The sequence below is a fragment of the Homo sapiens genome, chromosome 1 (assembly GCF_000001405.40).
Source record: "Homo sapiens chromosome 1, GRCh38.p14 Primary Assembly".
Classification (NCBI taxonomy): Eukaryota; Metazoa; Chordata; class Mammalia; order Primates; family Hominidae; genus Homo; species Homo sapiens.
Window position 1 is genome coordinate 220,042,778 of NC_000001.11, and position 21,658 is coordinate 220,064,435.

Here is a 21,658-nt window from a genome sequence, read left to right on the forward strand (position 1 = left end):
GGGCGTGGTGGCATGCGCCTATAGTCCCAGCTACTCGGGAGGCTGAGGCAGGAGGATCACATGAAACTGGGAGGCAGAGGTTTCAGTGAGCCAAGATCGCACCACTGCACTCCAGCCTGGTGACAGGGTGAGACTCCATCTCAAAAAACAAACAAACAAAAAACAACATCAACAACAACAAAAGTAAACTACTGTCATAGACAAAAAGATATATGAATTTCAGAAGTATTATCCTAGGCACATATGAGAATATAAGAATATATATAATATGATTCAATGTATATGAAATTATAGAAAAAGCAAAAAAGTGACAAAAAGAAGATGAGTCGCTATTAGGTGCTAGGAGTAGGGAAAGGAATGACTGCAAAGGGGCGTGAGAGGACTTTCTGAAGTAATGGAAATACTCTACATGATGACTGTGGTGTAGATTACACACTTGTCACATTTGTCACATTGTACACATTTGTCAATCACTTAAAATTGGTGAACAATTGTATACAAGTTATAATTCAATAAAACTAATTTTTAAAAACAAAATAATTTTAAATAGAAAATGAAAATAATACAAATTGTAACTTCTTGAGTATTTTTGCTATGATTTTTTTAAATGGGAAAAAGAGAAAGCTCTCCTCACAGAAAAATGCCAACTAATACATACAGAAGGAATGGTAGAATGGGAAAGTCACTATCTCGCAAACATCATAAAATCATAAAAATCAAGTTAGGCAGGAAGTATCAATGGATACTGAAACTAGTGGGTGAAGATCTGATGCAAAGTGGAACATTTACATGATTCCAATGCATCTGCCCATTAAAATTAAGGTTAGAATAATCAGTAATGGGAAAATTAAATTCATGCACCAACTGATGGGCTGCAATGAAGAACAAGGAATAACTACGCTATTCCTGCCAAAAACAAAGAGCCTGAATCTAGACACCAGGAAATATCAGACAACTTAAACAGAGGATATTCTTCAAGTTAAGTGGCCTGTTATCTTCAGAAAGGTCAAAGCTATGAAAGCCAAGGGAAGACTAGGAAACCATTCCAGACTGAAAGAAACTGGAGAGAGGTGACAATCAGATGCAAACAAAGCATAATACGGGATTTTGATCTCAACACTATGGAGGGTCTGGTTGTAACAAATAATGATAGAACAAGGATGGGGTCTGTGCATTAGATGGAAGCATTGTATCCAAGTGTATTTCCTGATTTGGGTGCTTGTGTGAGATCACCTGGAGTTTCCAAGTTTGTTGGGGATGTACACTGGAGTTATGCTGAGATACTGAAGCCTCATATCTACAGTATGCTCTTGGGTGGTATGGGGGAAAAAGGTCTTTATTTTAAGTTTGAAATTAACATTAAATATATAACATGATGAATGCATACAAAATAGGAAAATTCTAGCAATGCAACTATTATTTTAAAATGTTTCATCTAATTATATTACTTAAAGATAAAATGTAATTGAATTAAACTGGGAATAATTAAATCAAAAATTAAAAAGGGAGAGGAGCAATTAGAAAAATGATATATTTGATAACTGGCATACAGTTCAAAATGACAAGAGTTTCACAGAATACTGGCAGAATTCTGAGTTCTGTAATACACTACAGAAACAGGCCACCTTCAGGGTGATTTTCTAAGTAACAAAAAATGTATCAGGAGGCTGGGCATGGTGGCTCACACCTGTGGTCCTGGCACTTTGGGAGGCCAAGGCGGGCGGACTGCTTGAGGTCAGGAGTTTGAGACCAGCCTGGCCAACATGGCAAAATGCTGTGTCTACTAAAAAATACAAAAATTAGGCGGGCATGGTGGTGCGCACCTCTAAGCGCAACTACTCGTGTGGCTGAGAACAAGAATTGCTTGATCCTGGGAGGCAGAGGTTGCAATGAGCTCGGTCTCCAAAAAAAAAAAAAAAAAAAAAAAAAAAAAAAACAGTATCAGGAGCTTTAACTATAGTCTCACTTAACTCTGGCAACCAATCCTATCTGGAAGACATTATTCTCCCTTTCTTAAAACAAGGAAACTATGGGAGAAGCTAAATAAGGAACTTGTCAAGGTTTCACAACTAGTAAGTGGCAGCCAGGATTGGACTCAGGTCTGCAGAAACCAAATGTCTTTGCTCTCAATCATGAAGGCACTCTAATGCCTTTCCAGCTCAGGAATCAAACCCATTCCTTTTAGAGTTCATTGATTTGTTGTGCGGTTAGTCCATTACTGCAACCAATATGCCAAAACATTACCATCTTTTAAATGTTTAAAATGGCTATTAAGTTGTGTTTTTGTTCAACAACCTTAAAACATCACCAAAGTTGAGAATATAATGAATAATTTCATCAGCCCCACGTGGTCAACTGTATATAAAGGTATGGGCTTCTTCAACATTAGAAAGTACTGTGTGTGTATTATCATACATATGCATTAACAAATATTAGGTCAGGCTGGGTACTGTGGCTCACGCCTGTAATCCTAGTACTTTGGGAGGCCAAGTCAGGATGGCTTGAGCCCAGGAGTTTGAGACCTGCCTGGGCAACACAGTGAAACGCCATCTTTCCAAAAAAGACACAAACACAAAATTAGCCAGGCATGGTGGCACGCGCCTGTAGTCCCAGCTACTAAGGAGGCTGAGGTGGGAGGATCATCTGAGCCCGGAAGTTCGATGCTGCAGTGAGCCTTGAAAGCGCCACTGCACTCCAGCCTGGACGATAGAGCAAGACCCTGACTCTCAAAAGAAAAAAAAAAATCGGCAAACTACTTAAATTCTTCTGTGTAATTTCCCAAAGTAATGAAAAAGCAGAAATTCTAAGCAATCTACCAACAATAATCTTGGTCATGTCGAAAAAATAATTCCAAACAGAACTTAAGATGTGTCAGTAAGGTGACAGATCCAATGTTTACTCTGAAATTTACTACACATCCACAGGGTGCAGTAAAAGCAACCGCATCAGTCTACAGTGTACCTGGGTGTTTTCCCCAATTACCCTACCACATTTAATTAAAAATAAATGCAGCCTCAGTTGAAATCCTAAATGCTAATATGCTCGTCTGGGTTATTTCTTCTGAACTCGATAAAACGTAAGGAAAATTTGACTCAAGTGAACTGAGGATTTCTCCTGAGAGGAGGGACAGGACAGGAAAGGAGGTAAGAAAAGGAGTTGGGGGAAAAATGCTAAAAGAGAAGCGACGACTATTGGATTTTAAGTTTTAAAATCTTATTTCCACGAGCAACTCTCGCTCTCCGGGGGAAAAAGGGAGAGGTGAGTTGACTGGGAGTTCATCCCTCTGAGAAAAAGATCCGAAGCGGAGTCTCGTGTTGTCTAGCCCGGGCTCACACTGCGCCTCCCTCCATGCCCGGGAAAACCATCTTCAGGAGCAGATGCACCTGCCGGGGACACGGGGCGAGGGGTGCGGAGCCTCCTCCACGTACAATTCTGGGGCGAGGGGCAGGTCCAACATCCCAGATGGTGACCACCACTGCGCAAAGCCGGGGCGCAGCGACCTTCCACGCCCTGCACCCTCCCTGGCTGATGCAACCCACACAGGTCATTGGTCTCGGCCCCTTACCTAGCGGAGGGTCTCCTGAATTCACGGTCAGAGAGAGCGTCGCCATCTCCACCAGTCCGCTGGTCCACCTGTCAGTACGCCTGGCTCGTGCCAGAACTACGGAGGACCCCGCGAAAGGAAGAAGATGCAACGTGTGCGCGTACCCGACGCCGCCGCAGCCTTCGCTCCGCCCCTGCGCCGCAGCTACTGCCGACACCGCGCACGCCGCGGTGCGACATCGTCGCGCGCCGTCTTCGTCCCCGCCCGCAGGTTCCAGAGCCTGCTACCCCTCCTCTTGGCCGCCAGGGTTAGAACGGCCTGCGTGGCCTTTCGTGCTGCGGTGGGAAAGACGCTGAAGTGGACGGGACTTTACGACACTTCGTCAAGTCAGCAGGTCGTAAAACAGCAGGTTGTAAAACCATCTTTAAGATGGGATAGGCGTTTATGTGAAGCACGAAACAAAAGCATGCACTGTCTTTATGTAAAAAGAAAAGTCCTGGAAGCATACACACGATAGCCATGATTACGTTGGGAATGGGAGAAGTTTTTCTCGTTGTTTATTTTATACATTCCCCCCCGTTTTTTTTTTTCCAAAACAAGAACGTATTTTCAAGAGTTATTTGCGTGTTGAAAATAATGGTTAAAGGAAATATAAAAGACTCTTTAAAAATCACTGCAGGCCGGGCGTGGTGGCTCACGCCTGTAATCTCAGCACTTTAGAAGGTGTAGGCGGGCGGATCACCTGAGGTCAGGAGTTCGAGACCAGTCTGGCCAGCATGGTGAAACCCCATCTCTACTAAAAATACAAAAATTAGCCTGGCATGGTGGTGGGCCCCTGTAATCCCAGCTACTTGGGAGGCTGAGGCAGGAGAATCGCTTGAACCTGGGAGGTGGAGGTTGCAGTGAGCCGAGATCGTGCTACTGCATCCAGCCTGGGCGACAGAGTGAGACTCCTTCTCGAAAAGAAAAAAAAAAAAAATCACAGCAGAGGCCGGGCGCGGTGGCTCAGGCCTGTAATCCCAGCACTTTGGGAGGCCGGAGGCGAGCGGATCTCGAGGTCAGGAGTTGGAGACCAGCTTCACCAACATGGTGAAACTGTAGAGACGGGGGTCTCTACTAAAAGTACAAAAATTAGCCGGGAATGGTAGCGCGCACCTTTAATCCTAGCTACTTGGGGAGCTGAGGCAGGAGAATCGCTTGAACCCGGGAGGAGGAGGTTGCGGTGAGCCGAGATCGCGGCACTGCACTCCAGCCTGGGCGACAGACTGAGACCCCGTTTCAAAACAAACAAAAAATCACTGCAGATAGGCGCAGTGGCGCGCTCCTGTAGTCTCAGCTATTAAGAAGGCTGAGGCAGGATCGCCTGAGCCCAGGAAGATGAGGCTGTAGTGGCCTCGCCGTGGACTTGCCTGTGAGTAGCCACTACCCTCCAGCCTGGCCGACACAGGGAGAGACCTGATCTAAAAAACAAAACAAAAAAACCCTCCGATGCCGCCCCCAATCATGGAGTCCACAGGTGTTTTTTTCAGCGTCTCATCTGATTCTCCCTTTCAAATCCTTTGTGACGGACGTGCATGCATGAGCTCCAGAGATACTCCAAGGTGTATACACACATTCGTGTGTGTGAGCTGCACCCATATTTCAAGGGCTGGTGTTAAAGTACGGGGACCCGGGATGGATTCCAAGAACCATCTCAACCACATCCTCGCCTACACTTTTTCTTAACCTCCCCAAGACATCCTTGTTTTCATTAGGGAGGGCCCCTTAGATTACATCTCCCATGAGACTTGAGGCCAGGCGCGGTGGCTCATGCCTGTAATCCCAGCACTTTGGGAAGCTGAGGCGGGCGGATCACCTAAGGTCGAGAGTTTGAGACCAGCCAAGCCAACATGGAGAAACCCCATCTCTAGTAAAAATACAAAAAAATAGCTGGGTGTGGTGGTGCATGCCTGTAATCCCAGCTACTCGGGAGGCTGACGCCAGAGAATCGCTTGAACCTGGGAGGCAGAGGTTTCGGTGAGCTGACATCACGCCATTGCACTCCAGCCTGGGTAACAGGAGCAAAACTTCATCTCAATAAAAAAAAAAAAAAAAAAAAAGAAGCCTACTTTCAGGATAGTGGGACTTATAGCAGAAAGTCTTAGGTCTTAGAGTTACCATCTTGTTGGATGCTTTTACTAGTTCCAATCATTTTTTAGTTATGTTGGATTTTCTAGGTAAATATCATTTTCTTCCTATCCAAAATTTACATGACCTATATCTTATCTCTTTCATTGGCTAGAACTTCCAGAATGATGTTAAATGGGAGCAATAATAGTGTCGAATAAGAGAGTATTTGCTTTGTTCCTGACTTTAGTGGGAATGCCGCTAATGTTGCATTATCAAGAATAGTGTCTGTGGCCGGGCACGGTGGCTCGCACCCGTAATCCCAGCACTTGGGAGGCCGAGGTGGGTGGATCACCTAAGTAGAGGACTTCGAGACCAGCCTGATCAACATGGTGAAACCCTGTCTCTACTAAAAATACAAAATTAGCTGGGCGTGGTGGTGCATGCCTGTAATCCCAGCTACTCAGGAGGCTGAGGCAGGAGAATCGCATGAACCTGGGAGCTGGAGGTTGCAGTGAGCAGAGATCATGCCACTGTACTCCAGCCCGGGGCAACAAGAGCAAAAAGTCCGTCTCAAAAAAAAAAATGTTAAAGAATAGTGTCTGTAAGCCAGGTGTAATGGCTCATACCTGTAATCCCAACACTTTGGGAGGCTGAGGTAGGCAGAACACCTGAGGTCCGGAGTTCGAGACTAGCCTGGTGAATATGGTGAAACCGCGTCATTTTACTAAAAATACAAAATTAGCCTGGAGTAGTGGTGCATGCCTGTAGTCCCAGCTACTTGGCAGTCTGAGGCAGGAGAATCACTGGAACCCAGGAGGCAGAGGTTGCAGTGAGCCTAGATGGCACCATTGCACTCCAGCCTGGGCAATAAGAGCAAAACTTTGTCTCAAAAAAAAAAAAAAAAGAATAGTGTCTGCTAGGTTGGCTGCAATGGCTCTTGCTGGTAATGTCAGCACTTTGGCAGGCCCAGATGGGAGGATCACCTGAGACCAGGAGTTTGAAGGTACAGTGAGCTATGATCGCGCCACCGCACTATAGCCTGGATGACAGAACAAGACCCTTTCCCTGAAAATAAAAATAAAAAAAGAATAGTGTTTGCCGCTGGTTTCTTATATATTCTTAGGTTAACAGGGTTTTTTTTTTTCTTTTTGAGACAGAGTTTCGCTCTCGTTGCCCAGGCTAGAGTGCAACGGCATGATATTGGCTCACTGTAGCCTCCGACACCTGGGTTCAAGTGATTCTCCTGCCTCAGCCTCCAAAGTAGCTGGGATTACAGGCACCTGCCACCACGCCCAGCTAATTTTTGTATTTTTAGCAGAGATGGGGTTTCATCATGTTGGCTAGGCTTATCTCGAACTCCTGACCTGAGGTGGTCTGCCCGCCTCGGCCTCCAAAGTGCTGGGATTACAGGCCTGAGCCACCGTGCCCAGCCCTGGATTCTTTTTAAAATCAAGAATGGGTATTGGATTTTCACTCCTTATTATTGTGTACATAAACAGGAGATACAGAGATGAAAGGTGAAGTCCCTGTCCTCAAGAAGCCTTTTTTTTTTTTTTGAGATAGAGTCTCATTTTGTTGCCCAGGCTAGAGTGCACTGGCATGATCTGGGCTCACTGCAACCTCCGCCTCCCTGGTTCAAGCAATTCTCTTGCCTTTGCCTCCTGAGTAGCTGGGATTACAGGTGTGTGCCACCATGCCCAGCTAATTTTTGTATTTTTAGTAGAGACGGGATTTCACCATGTTGCCCAGGCTGGTCTCAAACTCCCAACCTCAGGTGTTCTACCTGCCTCAGCCTCCCAAAGTGCTGGGATTCTGTGCTGGGATTACAGGTGTGAACCACCACGCCCAAACTTTTTTTTTTTTTTTTTTAGACAGAGCAGGCTGTAGTCCAGTGGCACGATTATAGCTCACTGCAGTCTCAATCTCCTGGGCTCAAGCGATCTTCCCACCTCAGCCCCCCAAGTAGCTAGAACTACAGGCATGCTCACCATGCCTAGCTAATTTTTTATTTTCTGTAGGTATGGGGTCTGTGTTGCCCAGGTTGGTCTTGAACTCCTGGACTCAAGCAATACTCCTCCCTCAACTGCTCAAAGTAGTGGGATTACAGGCATGAGCCACCGTGCCTGACCAAGAAGGCTACAGACTTTGGGAGGCCGAGGTGGGTGGATCACCTGAGGTTGGGAGTTGGAGACCAGCCTGGCCAACATGGTGAAATCCTGTCTCTACTAAAAATAGAAAAATTAGCCTGGCGGGCATGGTGGCACACACCTGTAATTCCAGCTACTGGGGAGGCTGAGGCAGGAGAATCGCTTGAACTCAGGAGGTGGAGGTTGCAGTGAGCTGAGATTGCGCCACTGCACTCCAGCCTGGGCAACAGAGCAAGACTGTGTCTAAAAAACAAAACAAAACAAAACAAAAACACAAGGTAAATAAAAATTGCTACACAGTGAGATATATGTAGCAATAGAAATATGTTCATATTAAAAACATTTTGGGGCCGGGGTGCAGTAACTCACACCTGTAATCCCAGCACTTTGGAAGGCTGAGGCGGGTGGGTCACTTGAGGTCAGGAGTTTGAGACCAGCCTGGCTAATATGGTGAAACCCCATCTCTACAAAAAATACAAAAATTAGCTGGGCTTGGTGGCACATGCCTGTAATCCCAGCTACTCTGGAGGCTGAGGCAGGAGAATTGCTTGAGCCCAGGAGGCAGAGGTTGCAGTGAGCCGATATCGCATCACTACACTCCAGCCTGGGTGACAGAGTGAGATGTGAGACTCTGTCTAAAAAAAAAAAAAAATTGAAATGAGAGTAAAAATAATAAACTTTGCAGAAAGTACAAAGATAGCTCAGAAGATGGAAGATGATTATCCATGTTGAGTGAGGAAGGAAAGACAGAATGGTAAAGGAAAGCTTTGGCTAAAAGATGGCATATTTGGCTGGGCACAGTAATATACCTGTAATCCTGTATGCCTGTAATTACACCTGTAATCCTAGCACTGTGGGAAACCGAGGTGGGAGGATCACTTGAGGCCAGAAGTTTGAGATCAGCCTAGGTAACATAGCAAGGCCCTGTCTCCACAAAGAAAAAAAAAAAATTAGTTGGGTGTGGTGGTTTATGCCTGTAGTCCCAGCTACGTGGGAGATTGAGGCAGGAGGGTCACTTGAGTCCACTTGAGGAGTTTAAGGTTGCAGTGAGCTATGATCATGCCATTGTATTCAATCCTTGGCAACAGAGCAAGACCCTGTCCCCCCCCTCAAAAAAAGTATATTTAAGGAGTGGGGGAAAAAAGGGGGTAAAAGAAGAATATGAGCTAAAACCTGAAGTCATGAAGCTGTGTGTACTTGGAAAACTCTGACCAGTTCGTTATTGCCAGAATATAAAATCTTTTGGAAGTAAGGGACTAAAAGGCTGGAATGTAGGCAGACTAAATTAGGAAGAGTTCTATATATCATGCTGAGGAGCAAGATTTTATCTTATGATAGAAAGTCGGTGAAAAGTTTTAGGCAGGAGCAGGAGATGTGATTAGGATCATATTTTACAAGGATGACTTCGACAATAATATAGGAGATGACTTGGAGTGCGCAGAACTGGCATTAGGGAAACCAGTTAAGATGTTATTACAACAGTCCATATGAGAGAAAATAAAAGATGATGGCCTGAACTAAGGCAGTGGAATAAGATCTGAGAATAGAGAACAAGTTTCAGATATATTTAGGAGGTAAAATCAGTAATGACAGACGAGATGTTTGGGGAGGTGATGGTGAAAGAAGCAATTTTTTAATTTTTTTTCTTTTTGATACAGTCTCCCTCTGTCACCCAGGCTGAAGTGCAGAGGCACAATCTCAGCTCGCTGCAACCTCCACCTCCCAGGTTCAAGCACTTCTCATCCCTCAGCCTCCCAAGTAGCTGGGAGTACAGGCGTGTGCCACCACATCCAGCTAATTTTTCTGTATTTTTGGTAGAGATGGGGTTTCGCCATGTTGGCCAAGCTGGTCTCAAACTCTTGGCCTCAAGTGATCTGCCATCCTCAGCCTCCCAAATTGCTGGGATTACACTGCACCCGGCCGAGAAGCAAATTTGCCTAGGTTTATTCCTAGATTTCAGCTGGATAAATGGGTGGATGGTTATGTCATTATCAAAGGAGGGAAGACAAGAGAGGAAACAGAGTTGGCAAATTATTTGGTTCTAGACTGATTTTTTGAGATGTCTGTAAGATATGTAGGTGAAAATATCCTTTACAAATTGCAGATTTGTATAATATTTGTATTATATTTGTATAATTTGTATAATATATAATTTGTATATATTTGTATAATATTTGTAATATATTTGTATAATAATATAATAAAATCTGGGGCTCAGTTGAAATGTTTTGCTGAAGGTGTGAGTAGTTATTAAAATGGATGAGATAAGCCTGGAGAAGAAGATACAGAGCTATGCTATACAGTGTGGTAGGCACTAGACACATACGACCATTTTCTTTTTTCTTTTTCTTTTTTTTTGAGATGGAGTCTCACTCTGTCGCCCAGGCTGGAGTGCAGTGGCGCAATCCCAGCACACTGCAACCTCCGCCTCCCGGGTTCAAGCGATTCTCCTGCCTCAGCCTTCTTAGTAGCTGGGATTAAAGGCACATAGCACCACGCCCAGCTAATTTTTGTATTTTAGTAGAGACAGGATTTCACCATGTTGGCCAGGCTGGTCTTGAACTCCTGACCTCAGGTGATCCACCTGCCTTGGCCTCCCAAAGTGCTGGGATTACAGGCGTGAGCCACCATGCCTGGCCTCATTTTATTTTTTCTAACAGCGTCATTGAGATATAATTCACATACCATAAAATTCACCTATTTAAAGTGTATAATTCAGAGTTCAATCATCACCACAATTACTTCTAGAACATTTTATCATCCCCTAAAGAAACTTTGTACCCTTTGGCAGTCACTTCCCATTTCCCCTCAATCCTTGAAATATTTTTTAAAAATGTTTAAGGATGTAGATGACTTGACCCCTACCTGCATCCCCAATCTCATTTCTTTTTTATAATTTTTAATACCCAAGTTCTGCCTCAGGATCTATCCCAACCTCATTTTATAACACTCTGCCCCTTGTTCATTTTACTTCAGCCACTGTGGCTTCCTTTAAGTTCTTTTTCTTTGTCTTCTCAGAGATGTTGTTTGCTTGCTATATACACTAGAAATCTCAGCTCTTAGTGTGCCTGACCAGACATCATCTCCACGGAAAACATACTCCTATTTTTATGTACAGAAGATCCTCTTTCAACCCTCCAACCCTACCCCAGTTGCTTTCTAGCTCATCTTCCTGATTTCATTTATAGCATTTACCACAATCTAAAATTTTATTTACTTATTATCTGTCTTGTTTCACAAGAACACATGCTCAACAAAGGAACAGACTTATGGTCACTGTTACATCCACTGTTGAATGTTCAGTACCTGGCTGGGCAAGGTGGATCACACCTGTAATCCCAGCACTTTGGGAGGCCGAGGCGGGTGGATCACCTGAGGTCAGGAGTTCGAGACCAGCCTGGCCAACATGGTGAAACCCCAACTCTACTAAAAATTCAAAAAATTAGCCAGGCGTTGTGGCGGGCACCTGTAATCCCAGCTACTTGGGAGGCTGAGGCAGGAGAATCGCTTGAACCTGGGAGGCAGAAGTTGCAGTGAGCCTGGGCAACAAGAATGAAACTCTGTCTCAAAAAAAAAAAAAAGAAAGAATGTTCAGTACCTATGTTCAGTGCCTAACACATAGTAGGTGCTCAATAAATATTTGTTCAATGAATGGAGGCCATGCTAAGAGAAAAGATAGTGTTTTAGGGGAACTTTAAATGGTTGAGCATGGCTACAGTATAGGTTAGGGTCAGAGTTGATGCTGGAGAAGGAAGAAGCCATTAAGAGCTTCATATATCATTATAAGGAGTTTGCATTTTATCCTGAAGGCAAAGGAAAGCCATAAAATATTTTGAGTAAGGGGAATGGCATTACATTTGATTTTAAAAAATCACTTTGGGCCCGGTGTGGTAACTCACGCTTGTAAAATCACAGCGTTTTGGGAAGCTGAGGTGGGCGAATCCCTTGAGACCAGGATTTTGAGACCAGCTTGTGCAACATGGTGAAACCCCATCTCTACAAAAAATATACAAAAATGAGTCAGGCGTTTTTTTTTTTTTTTTTTTTTTGAGATGGAGTCTTTCTTTGTCACCCAGGTTGGAGTGCAGTGGCATGATCTTGGCTCACTGCAACCTCCATCTCCTGGGTTCATGCAATTCTCCTGCCTCAGCCTCCCAAGTAGCTGGGATTACAGGCATGTGCCACCATGCCTGGCTAATTTTTGTATTTTTAGGAGAGACAGGGTTTCACCATATTGGTCAGGCTGGTCTTGAACTCCTGACCTCAAGTGATCCACCCACCTCAGCCTCCCAAAGTGCTGGGATTACAGGCGTGAGACACCACGCCCGGCTTAGCCAGGCGTTACTGTGCAAACCTGTAGTCTCAGCTACTTGGGGGGGCTGAGGCAGGAGAATTGCTTAAGCCCAGGAGGTCAAGGCTGCAGTGAGCTATAAGCACACCACTGCACTCCAGCCTGGGTGACAGAGCGAGACCCTGTCTCAAAAACAAAACAAAACAAAAAAATCACTCTGGAGATGACGTGATAAATGGATGAGAGAGAGATAGATGGGTTACAGTGTAGGCAGAAAGATTAGTCAAGACACTGCAGGGATCTAGGGAAGAAATAACGGGGTATAAGGGTATAAACTAATGTAATTAATGTAGAGTCAAGAGTAATGGAGAGAGGATTTAGACTCCTACATATCTCACTTACATAAATTGGGTTTTCGTATAGGAACCTGAAGAAAATACCTTCAAAGTTATTTTCGGCCGGGTGTGGTGGCTCACACCTGTAATCCCAGCACTTTGGGAGGCTGAGGAAGGTGGATCACCTGAGGTCAGGAGTTCAAGACCAGCCTGGCCAACATGGTGAAACCCCTGTCTCTACTAAAGATACAAAAAATTAGCCAGGTGTGGTGGTGTGCCCCTGCTACTCGGGAGGCTGAAGCAGGAGAACCACTTGAACCCGGGAGGCAGAGGTTGTAGTGAGCTGAAATCATGCCATTGCACTCCAGCCTGGGTGACAGAGTGAGACTCCATCTCAAAAAAAAAAAAAAAAAAAAAAAAGTTATTATCTTAGGGCTGGGCGCAGTGGCTCACACCTATAATCCCAACACTTTGGGAGGCCAAGGCAGGCGGATCACCTGAGGTCAGGAGTTCGAGACCAGCCTGGCCAACATGGTGAAACCCCATCTTTACTAAAAATACAAAAATTACCTGGGCGTGGTGGCACATGCCTGTAATCCCAGCTACTCAGGAGGCTGAGGCAGGAGAATCGCTTGAACCCGTGAGGCGGAGGCTGCAGTGAGCCAAGATTGCGCCCCTGCACTCCAGCCTGGCGACAGAGCGAGACTCCGTCTCAAGAAATATATAAATAAATAAAAATAAAGTTATTCTCTTGTTACACTTAGATTTTTTAAAAATTAGGTTTAGTCCACTATTTACAGATAGAGAACTCCATTCGTAGAGGGAAGCAGGTGGATTCAGGTGATGATTTTCTAACTTGGCCAATTATCAAGATCACCTCATGGGTTTGTAAAATAATTTCTGGAGGGGTCGGGGCAAGAGTGAAGAACTGTTTAGACATAATCATTCAGACATCTCTGTAAGGCATCTAGGTAGGTTTTGGGGTATATAGATCTAGAGTTTGAGAGTTCTAAGCTAAAGATTTTGGATTAATGAGCAAAAGCGCCACAAAAGTCACACAGGTGGATTAGATCCTCTGGTGAGAAAGGAGAGAAAGCATAGTCCAGGTGCAGTGGCTCACACCTATAATCCCAGCACATTGGGAGACAGAGGCAGGAGGATTGCTTGAGGCTAGGAGTTCAAGACCAGCCTGGGCTGTATAGCAAGACCCCATCTCTACCAAAAAAAGAAAAAAAAGAAAGGAGAGAGACTAGAACAGAATCTTGGTAAACAGTGACATTTAAGGGAAGGAAGACAAAGAGAAAGCAATAAAGGAGACTGAGTAGGAGTGGCTAGGTGAAAAAAGAAAGCCAGGACAATGAGAAGAGACTTACAGGAGGGAGGGCTCAAAGGTGTCAAGACCACAGAGACCTCTTCCTGCTAGATTATGACACTTCTATAAAATAATACTATATTACCTTATCTAGTGAGTCCTAGAGTTAAATGATTATCAGTCCCTGAATTTCTTAAAATATACAGAAGCAGGCTGAGCGTGGTGGCTCACATTTGTAATCCCAGGACTTTGGGAGGCCAAGGTGGGCAGATTATGAGGTCAGAAGATCGAGACCATCCTGGCTAACACAGCGAAACCCCGTCTCTACTAAAAATACAAAAAATTAGCCAGGGGTGGTGGCATGTGCCTGTAGTCCCAGCTACTCAGGAGGCTGAGGCAGGAGAATCGCTTGAGCCCGGGAGGTGGAGGTTGCAGTGAGCCGAGATTGCACCACTGCACTCTGGCCTGGGTGACAGAGAGTGACTCTGTCTCAAAATAAATAAATAAATAAGTAAATAAACACACACACACACACACACACACACACACACACACAAGCAAAATCGTTGGGATAAACCCTGTGAATTTTTATTTTTATTGTTTGAGACAGAGTCTCGCTTTGTTGCCCAGGCTGGAGTGCAGTGGCACGATCTCAGCTCACTGCAACCTCTGCCTCCCAGGTTCAAGTGATCCTCCTGCCTCAGCCCCCTGGTAGCTGGGATTACAGGCACACACCACCATGCCCGGCTAATTTTCGTATTTTTAGGAGAGACAGGGTTTCGCCATGTTGGCCAGGCTGGTCTCGAACTCCTGACCTCAGGCGATCCACCCGCCTCGGCCTCCCAAAGTGCTGTGATTACAGGCATGAGCCACTGCGCCTGGCCTGTGAATCTGCATTTTAAAAGAATCTTCCTAGGTGATTCTGATATGCAGTTGAGTTTGGGAACTGTTAATTTAAACCACTTGTTGATTTGAAAACAGATAATTTTAATTAAAAGCAATGGACAGAGACCTAAAAATAAAAATCTAGGTATATTAGCAGAATAATTTTAATAGTTTATGTTATAATCTCTCATTGGAAGGAATAGAAGCAAGTACTTAGCTTTCCACAATTAAGCCTTATAATGATGCCACAAGAATAAACTAATCCCCAAAGTCGAGAATGTATAATTTTCAAACACTTTTTTAAAAAGCTGGTGAATAACAAAGAGCTAGGATTAAATAATTTATTTAAAAAAAACTTTTCTCATAAATCTGTTTCATAAGCATATATAATAACATCATATATATTCTTAATTGGAGTAGAAACGTTTTTAAAATTACTGTGAAAAACAAGAGTGAGATTCCAGAAAAAATTGTGCCCTAAAGAAATCTGGTTTAGGCCAGGTGCGGTGGCTCACACCTGTAATCCCAGCACTTTGGGAGTCCGAGGCAGACAGATCACGATGTCAGGAGATCAAGACCATCCTGGCTAACACGGTGAAACACCTTCTCTACTAAAAATACAAAAAATTAGCCAGGCGTGGTGGCGGTGCCTGCAGTCCCAGCTACTCGGGAGGCTGAGGCAGGAGAATGGCATGAACCCGGGAGGCGGAGCTTGCAGTGAGCCGAGATCACGCCACTACATTCTAGCCTAGGCTACAGAGCGAGACTCCGTCTCAGGAAAAAAAAAGAGAAATCTGGTTTAGAAGATAGGAATGTTCATTGAACATTGACCTGAACTGTCAATTGGAACTAAAGCTTTTTCTCATTTCTCCACCTAAATACAGGAAAACAAATATAACATATTGAGTTTATAAGTTCTCCAGACGTCAAAATTGGTCTGGTTGATTAATCAAGTTAAATTATTTAATTCTATTTTCTATTCCTAAATATAATAACTAAATATAAATCACTGCTCAACAATGAATAAAGGTGGAACTCTAATTCTACCCAATTAATCTTAAAATGTATTATTTTGAGAACCAAGTCTTTCTCCTAGCTAAGTAAATGAAACTTTAAGTACTTTTTGGGTTTTTGTTTTTTTTTTTTCTGAGACAGGGCTTAACTCCTGTCACTCAGGCTGGAGTGCAGTGGCACGATCTCAGCTCACTGCAACCTCTGCCTTCCGGGCTCAAGAGATTCTTCTGCTTCAGCCTCTCAAGTAGCTGGGATGACAGGCGCATGACAGGATGCCCAGTTAATTTGTATTTTTGTAGAGATGGGGTCTCACGATATTGCCCAGGCTGGTCTCAAACTCCTGAGCTCAAGTGATCCACCTGCCTCGGCCTCCCAAAGTGCTGGGATTACAGGCATGAGCCACCGCGCCCGGCCAAATGAAACTTTCCTTTAAGGAACAAGTGCATTTTTAATAGATTCTGGAACTCGGCTTGCATAGTAGTCATAATTCCTCAGTGTGGCCAGGACTCCTGCAGAGTTCATATGCTTCACATCCTTGTGGTACTGAAGAACATTCCCATGGATATCGGTTAACTTGCCTATAGAAAAACATCAATCAATCAATCAAGTTAGTGGCTAATTGGATTGTGGTTTTTCTAGTTATTTTTAAGTGCCTTTTGCTTCCTTATCCAATAGTAGCCAATAAATTCTGGATGAAATAATGAGTGTCCATAAAGGTTAAGTTTTAATTCACTTGAAATTTAAGACTACAGAACAATTTTAACTAACTAAAGGATATAAAATTATTTTTTCTCTGATTAATATTAATTTTATTTAGCATTTTCTTTTCTTTTTTTTTTTTTTTTTTTTTTTTGAGATGGAGTCTTGCCCAGGCTGGAGTGCAATGGCACAATCTCAGTTACTACAACCTCGGTTCACTACAAGCCCAGGAGTTCAAGGGTGCAGTGAGCCATGATTGCACCACTGCATTCCAGCCTAGACAATAGCGACCCTGTGTCAAAAAAAAAAAAAGGCTATAAATAAGGGCTAAATTAAATTAACTGTATGCAGATCAAAGTTCAAAAAAAGAGACGATAACTAAAGTAAAACTTGCTGAAAATCTGCTCTCTCATCCATCTATCATATGAGGGGTTTGGACTGGATAATCTCTAAGCTGCCTTCTAGCTTTTATATCGTAACAGTCTAAGTAAAATAATATTACTGAGATATTATGTCTTAGCATGATATAATTGTAGAAAAACTATGAATTTCCTCAAATAAAACAGACTAACCTCCCACAGCATGTAAAATAACTTCTGGAGCACAAGTATCCCACTTCTTACAACCAGGACTTGCAAATACATAAGCAGAGGCTTTGCCTTCAATCAGCTGAATAATCTGTAAGGGTAAAAATAAGAATTATCCTTTGATAATAGAAAGAATAATTGAAAGTCATGAAAAGATTGAGGTACAGATAAGAAAAACTGCTTGTTTCTATCAAGGACATTTAATCAGTTCCTCTGTTAAATTTAGTTAAAGCTTTTAGCAGGTTTAAATTATACCAGTATTATGAAGAAATACATAGAATAAATGCATAATAATATAGTGATATGAAGGAAAAATAATGGTCAAAAAAGCTACAAAGAGGATATCTGAACTGTCTCCATATTCCAAGTTACATAAAGTAACATGTTCCTTTTATTCACGTTGTTTTTCTTTTTTAGTGTAAAAGCAATATACATTTACAGCAGAATTAATTCAAGTTTTTTCAACATCTAAAAAATTGACCATTTATTAGAGGGCTGCGCATGGTGGCTCACTCCTGTAATGCCAGCACTTTGGGAGGCTGAGACAGGTGGATCACTTGCAGCCAGGAGTTTGAGACCAGCGTGGCCAACATAGCAAAACCCATCTCTACTAAAAATACAAAAAATTAGCTGGGTGTTGTGTTGCATGTCTGTAATCCTAGCTACTTGGGAGGCTGAGGCACGAGAATCGTTTGAACCTGGGAGGTGGAGGTTGTAGTGAGCCAAGACTGCACCACTTCACTCCAGCCTGGGCGACAGAGCGAGACTCTGTCTCAAACAAACAAAAGCACTCCCCTCAAAAAAAAACCCTGACCATTATTAAATAAAGGACAGAGAAGTATCAAGCAGTACCATAATGTATAAATTGTAATAGATCCTAACAGATGTGCAATGTGACTAGTCTAACAAATACTTTCATAAGTCTTGGGATCACACGTATTGCCATTTCACTACCAAAATACAAACTTTTTTTTTTAAAAATATTTGAAGAGATTTATTCTAAGCCCAATATGAGTGACCATGGCCCATGACACAGCCCTCAGGAAGTCCTGAGAACATGTGCCCAAGGCAGTGGGGAGCAGCTTGGTTGTATGTATTTTAGAGAGGCATGAGACATCAATCAAATACATTTAAGAAATACATTGATTTGGTCCAGAAAGGTGGAACAACTCAAAGCGGTGGGGGCGGGGAGGCTTCCAGGATATAGGTGAATTTAAGTATTTTCTGATTGACAATTGATTGGGTTTGTCTAAAGACCTGGGATCTATAGAAAGAGAATGTTCAGATTAAGATAAAGATTGTTGAGACCAAAATTCCTTTGAAGTCTTATAGTGGCTGTCCTTAGATACAATAGGTGACAAATGTTTCCTAATCAGATTTTAGTTAATCTGTTTAGGATTTGGAGGGTCTGAAAGAAAAAGAGCTAGCTATGTTAATAGAGATGCTTTACAGATGCAGATTTTTCCCCACAAAGAACAGCTTTGCAGCGCCACAAAATACAAACTTTTATAGAGTCATCCTAACAATTCCTCTAATACTGACACACAACTGAGATCACTGCTAGAACTTGCATGACTCTAAATGGTAACCTGCTATCAAACTTTCATTAGTCAATTGACTTTTTTTGGTTATAGTGTAAAATAATTATTATTATAAAACTCAGACTCTTCTAGAAATACAAAAATTAGCCAGGTGTGGTGGCAGGCGCCTGTAATCCCAGCTACTCAGGAAGCTGAGGCAGGAGAATCGCTTGAACCCGGGAGGTGGAGGTTGCAGTGAGCCGAGATTGTGCCATTGCACTCCAGCCTGGGCAACAGAGTAAGACTCCGTCTCAAAAAAAAAAAAAAAACAAAAAACTATTCAGAAGATACATAAGTAGGACCAGAGTGATAGGCTGTGAGGAAGGAAGGAGTCTAGGATGACTTTCAGGTGTTTGGCTGGATCAGTTAGAAAAATGGTGGTGCCATTAGTGGGATAGTAAAACAGGGAGAGAAACACATCCAGAGGTGGGTAGAAAGAGGATGAACTCAAATTGGACACGCTAAATTTGAGATACCTGAGGGATGTCATCATAATGATATCTAGGGGACAATCAGATGAGAAGAGATCAGGGCTAGGGATGTAGATCAAATTGTGTCCCATTTCATAATTCTCTCAGCAGGTTGGAAACCTGGATGAAAGAATGGGGGAAATAGATAGGAAGTGGGCAGGCAGGCCAGATCTTAGAGTCTGTAGAAGGGCTAGGAAATAATCTAAGAGGGTCCTTGGGAAAATAAGGTCTTTGGCAAGAAGCATGGAGTCATCCTGATGACTTTCATTAACATTGAACTCTCTCAGATAAAAAAAAAAAAAACTTGATTCTTAAATTTATTTTTAAAATTTAAATGCTGCTGAAATGTACAAATTATAGTCTTTACTCCCATCTCTTTAAACGCTTATTTCTTTTTTTTTTATTATTATACTTTAAGTTTTAGGGTACATGTGCACAATGTGCAGGTTAGTTACATATGTATACATGTGCCATGCTGGTGTGCTGCACCCATTAACTCGTCATCTAGCATTAGGTATATCTCCCAATGCTATCCCTCCCCCCTCCCCCCACCCCACAACAGTCCCCAGAGTGTGACATTCCCCTTCCTGTGTCCATGTGTTCTCATTGTTCAATTCCCATTTATGAGTGAGAACATGCGGTGTTTGGTTTTTTGTCCTTGCGATAGTTTACTGAGAATGATGATTTCCAATTTCATCCACGTCCTTACAAAGGACATGAACTCATCATTTTTTATGGCTGCATAGTATTCCATGGTGTATATGTGCCACATTTTCTTAATCCAGTCTATCATTGTTGGACATTTGGGTTGGTTCCAAGTCTTTGCTATTGTGAATAGTGCCACAATAAACATACGTGTGCATGTGTCTTTATAGCAGCATGATTTATAGTCCTTTGGGTATATACCCAGTAATGGGATGGCTAAACTCTTATTTCATGTTTTTAGAAGTTGAGTATTTCAATGATTCACTTGCACTTCAGAGCAGATGACAGACATTTTTCATACCTTATTTCCTGCTCCTCCTACTCGCAGCACAGCATCGGGGTTCATAGCAGCAACACAGTCAGTAACCAACTTGTTGCTATGGGATCGAGTAGTTGTGATAATGTGTTTCCCAGCAGGGACTTCTTTCAGCTGAAACCCAAAGGCGCCTAAACCTAAAACTCCCCAGATTGTCCTCCCCAACACAGCATCTGGTCCTGCCTGTGTAAACGAGTGAAACAACAAGACTTGTGGTTATTTGGAGAAGAACGTTAGCCCATAAATGGAATATTCAGTTATATTAGCATCATGATTTAAAAAATAAAAACATGATAGCCGGGCGCGGTGGCTCATGCCTGTAATCCCAGCACTTTGGGAGGCCGAGGCGGGCGGATCACGAGGTCAGGATATCTAAACCATCCTGGCTAACACGGTGAAACCCCGTCTCTAATAAAAATACAAAAAATTAGCCGGGCATGGTGGTGGGTGCCTGTAGTCCCAGCTACTTGGGAGGCTGAGGCAGGAGAATGGCGTGAACCTGGGAGGTGGAGGTTGCAGTGAGCCAAGATCACGCCACTACACTCCAGTCTGGGCGACAGGGCAAGACTCCGTCTCAAAAAACATGATAATGTTATAAAGTACAAGAACAATATCACTGGCAAAGAACTTCTCCTGAGAGAATCTGCTGATTATTATCATTACTGTTCTGGTTAACAGTTTCAAAGAACTTTTGGTTATTCCCTGGAATCCTTATAAACTGATTTCTGTTTATAATGTGCTGAAACATCATAAACTGATTACTGTTTCTCTGAATTATCTAATGATCTCTTTGTTGTATTTGAAAATGGCCATTTTCAGAAGGTACTAAGATCCCCAGGAAATGAAATACCATGTATTGATAACTACTTTTCATTATCCAAGAAATATTAAAAATCATGTTGCTACAGGAATAGGTAATGATGACAATGTATTTGGCTGCTATGGAGATAGGGCAACTGAATAGGCCAATACAATATTGAAGAGTAGCCATGGATAATGGGATCAGAGTTAAGATTTTGCTGACAATTTTAACAGCAAAATGACAATGATAATGCAATCTTAGAATCTATATTTTCCTTTGCAGAACTCAATTTCAACTACATTGTTATAACTATACACTTGATATAGAAAAAAAATCTGTATTTCATGGAAAGTAAAACTGATACATAAAATGATTGATGCAAAGTCATCAAAATACAATTATATTAATATAGTAGACATATATTATAGAGATATACATATTGTACTGAACACCAAACATGTACCAGGCACCATTCTAAGTGCTTTACATGTATTATCTCTCTTTCAATCCTCAAAGCACCCCCATGAAGTAGGTATTCTCATCCTTAATTTAAAGATTAGAAAAATGAAATGTGGAACCATTAAGTAACCTGACTAAAGGTTCTAAGAAGTTCACAACCAAAGATTGGCTCATCTGTCTTCAAAGATGATATTCTTAAACACTAAATTAGACTGCCTATGTTTACCTGTCAAATGTTTTCACACACATCATCTTATTTGTCCTAGAGCAGTACCCTGGGTGTTGTTATTGTGAAATATACTTAGGTCGCAGGTTGGGTTCCCTGGGAAGCAGACTCTGAGGCAGGTGGTATGTTTGTTAGGAAGTGCGCTTGGTATCAACACCTGTGGAAGGAGGAGGAGGG

The 21,658-nt window shown here is 42.8% G+C and overlaps 2 protein-coding genes across 19 annotated transcripts in view, besides 4 other annotated features; both read right to left on the reverse strand.

Moving 5' to 3' along the window:
* EPRS1 (glutamyl-prolyl-tRNA synthetase 1) overlaps positions 1 to 3,728 on the reverse strand; it is a 77,906-nt gene extending 74,178 nt beyond the window's left edge. Inside the window, exon 1 of the mRNA NM_004446.3 lies at positions 3,566 to 3,728. Coding sequence (NP_004437.2) covers positions 3,566 to 3,611 — 46 coding nt within the window. The 5' untranslated portion in view covers positions 3,612 to 3,728. The remainder of the gene's footprint in view (positions 1 to 3,565) is intronic.
* Positions 2,881 to 3,438: an enhancer, noted in NCBI's record as "H3K27ac hESC enhancer chr1:220219000-220219557 (GRCh37/hg19 assembly coordinates)". NCBI's record gives its function as "activates a minimal SCP1, AML or CMV promoter by ChIP-STARR-seq in primed H9 embryonic stem cells {active_cell/tissue: H9 hESC(primed)}" and the evidence as "EXISTENCE:reporter gene assay evidence [ECO:0000049][PMID:30033119]".
* Positions 3,480 to 3,809: an enhancer, noted in NCBI's record as "active region_2551". NCBI's record gives its function as "activates an Ori minimal core promoter by ATAC-STARR-seq in GM12878 lymphoblastoid cells {active_cell/tissue: GM12878}" and the evidence as "EXISTENCE:reporter gene assay evidence [ECO:0000049][PMID:35858748]".
* Positions 3,870 to 3,939: an enhancer, noted in NCBI's record as "active region_2552". NCBI's record gives its function as "activates an Ori minimal core promoter by ATAC-STARR-seq in GM12878 lymphoblastoid cells {active_cell/tissue: GM12878}" and the evidence as "EXISTENCE:reporter gene assay evidence [ECO:0000049][PMID:35858748]".
* Positions 14,705 to 21,658, reverse strand: part of BPNT1 (3'(2'), 5'-bisphosphate nucleotidase 1) — a 32,307-nt gene continuing 25,353 nt past the window's right edge. For 11 of the 18 annotated variants that reach the window (NM_001286149.2, XM_011509063.3, NM_001286150.2 and 8 more), the window contains 3 exons: positions 19,980 to 20,177; positions 16,909 to 17,014; positions 14,705 to 16,215 (listed from right to left, as the gene is read on the reverse strand). In NM_001286149.2, coding sequence (NP_001273078.1) covers positions 16,067 to 16,215; positions 16,909 to 17,014; positions 19,980 to 20,177 — 453 coding nt within the window. In that variant the 3' untranslated portion in view covers positions 14,705 to 16,066. Of the gene's footprint in view, positions 16,216 to 16,908; positions 17,015 to 19,979; positions 20,178 to 20,905; positions 21,639 to 21,658 lie in introns of those variants that run through there. The other 7 variants (XM_047429666.1, XM_017000045.3, XM_011509065.4 and 4 more) reach the window with 2 other exon arrangements.
* Positions 17,015 to 17,184: an enhancer, noted in NCBI's record as "experimental_4904 CRE fragment used in MPRA reporter constructs". NCBI's record gives its function as "activates a minimal promoter by MPRAs in K562 erythroleukemia cells, with activity observed for both the introgressed and non-introgressed 1:220233219 variant alleles {active_cell/tissue: K562}" and the evidence as "EXISTENCE:reporter gene assay evidence [ECO:0000049][PMID:34662402]".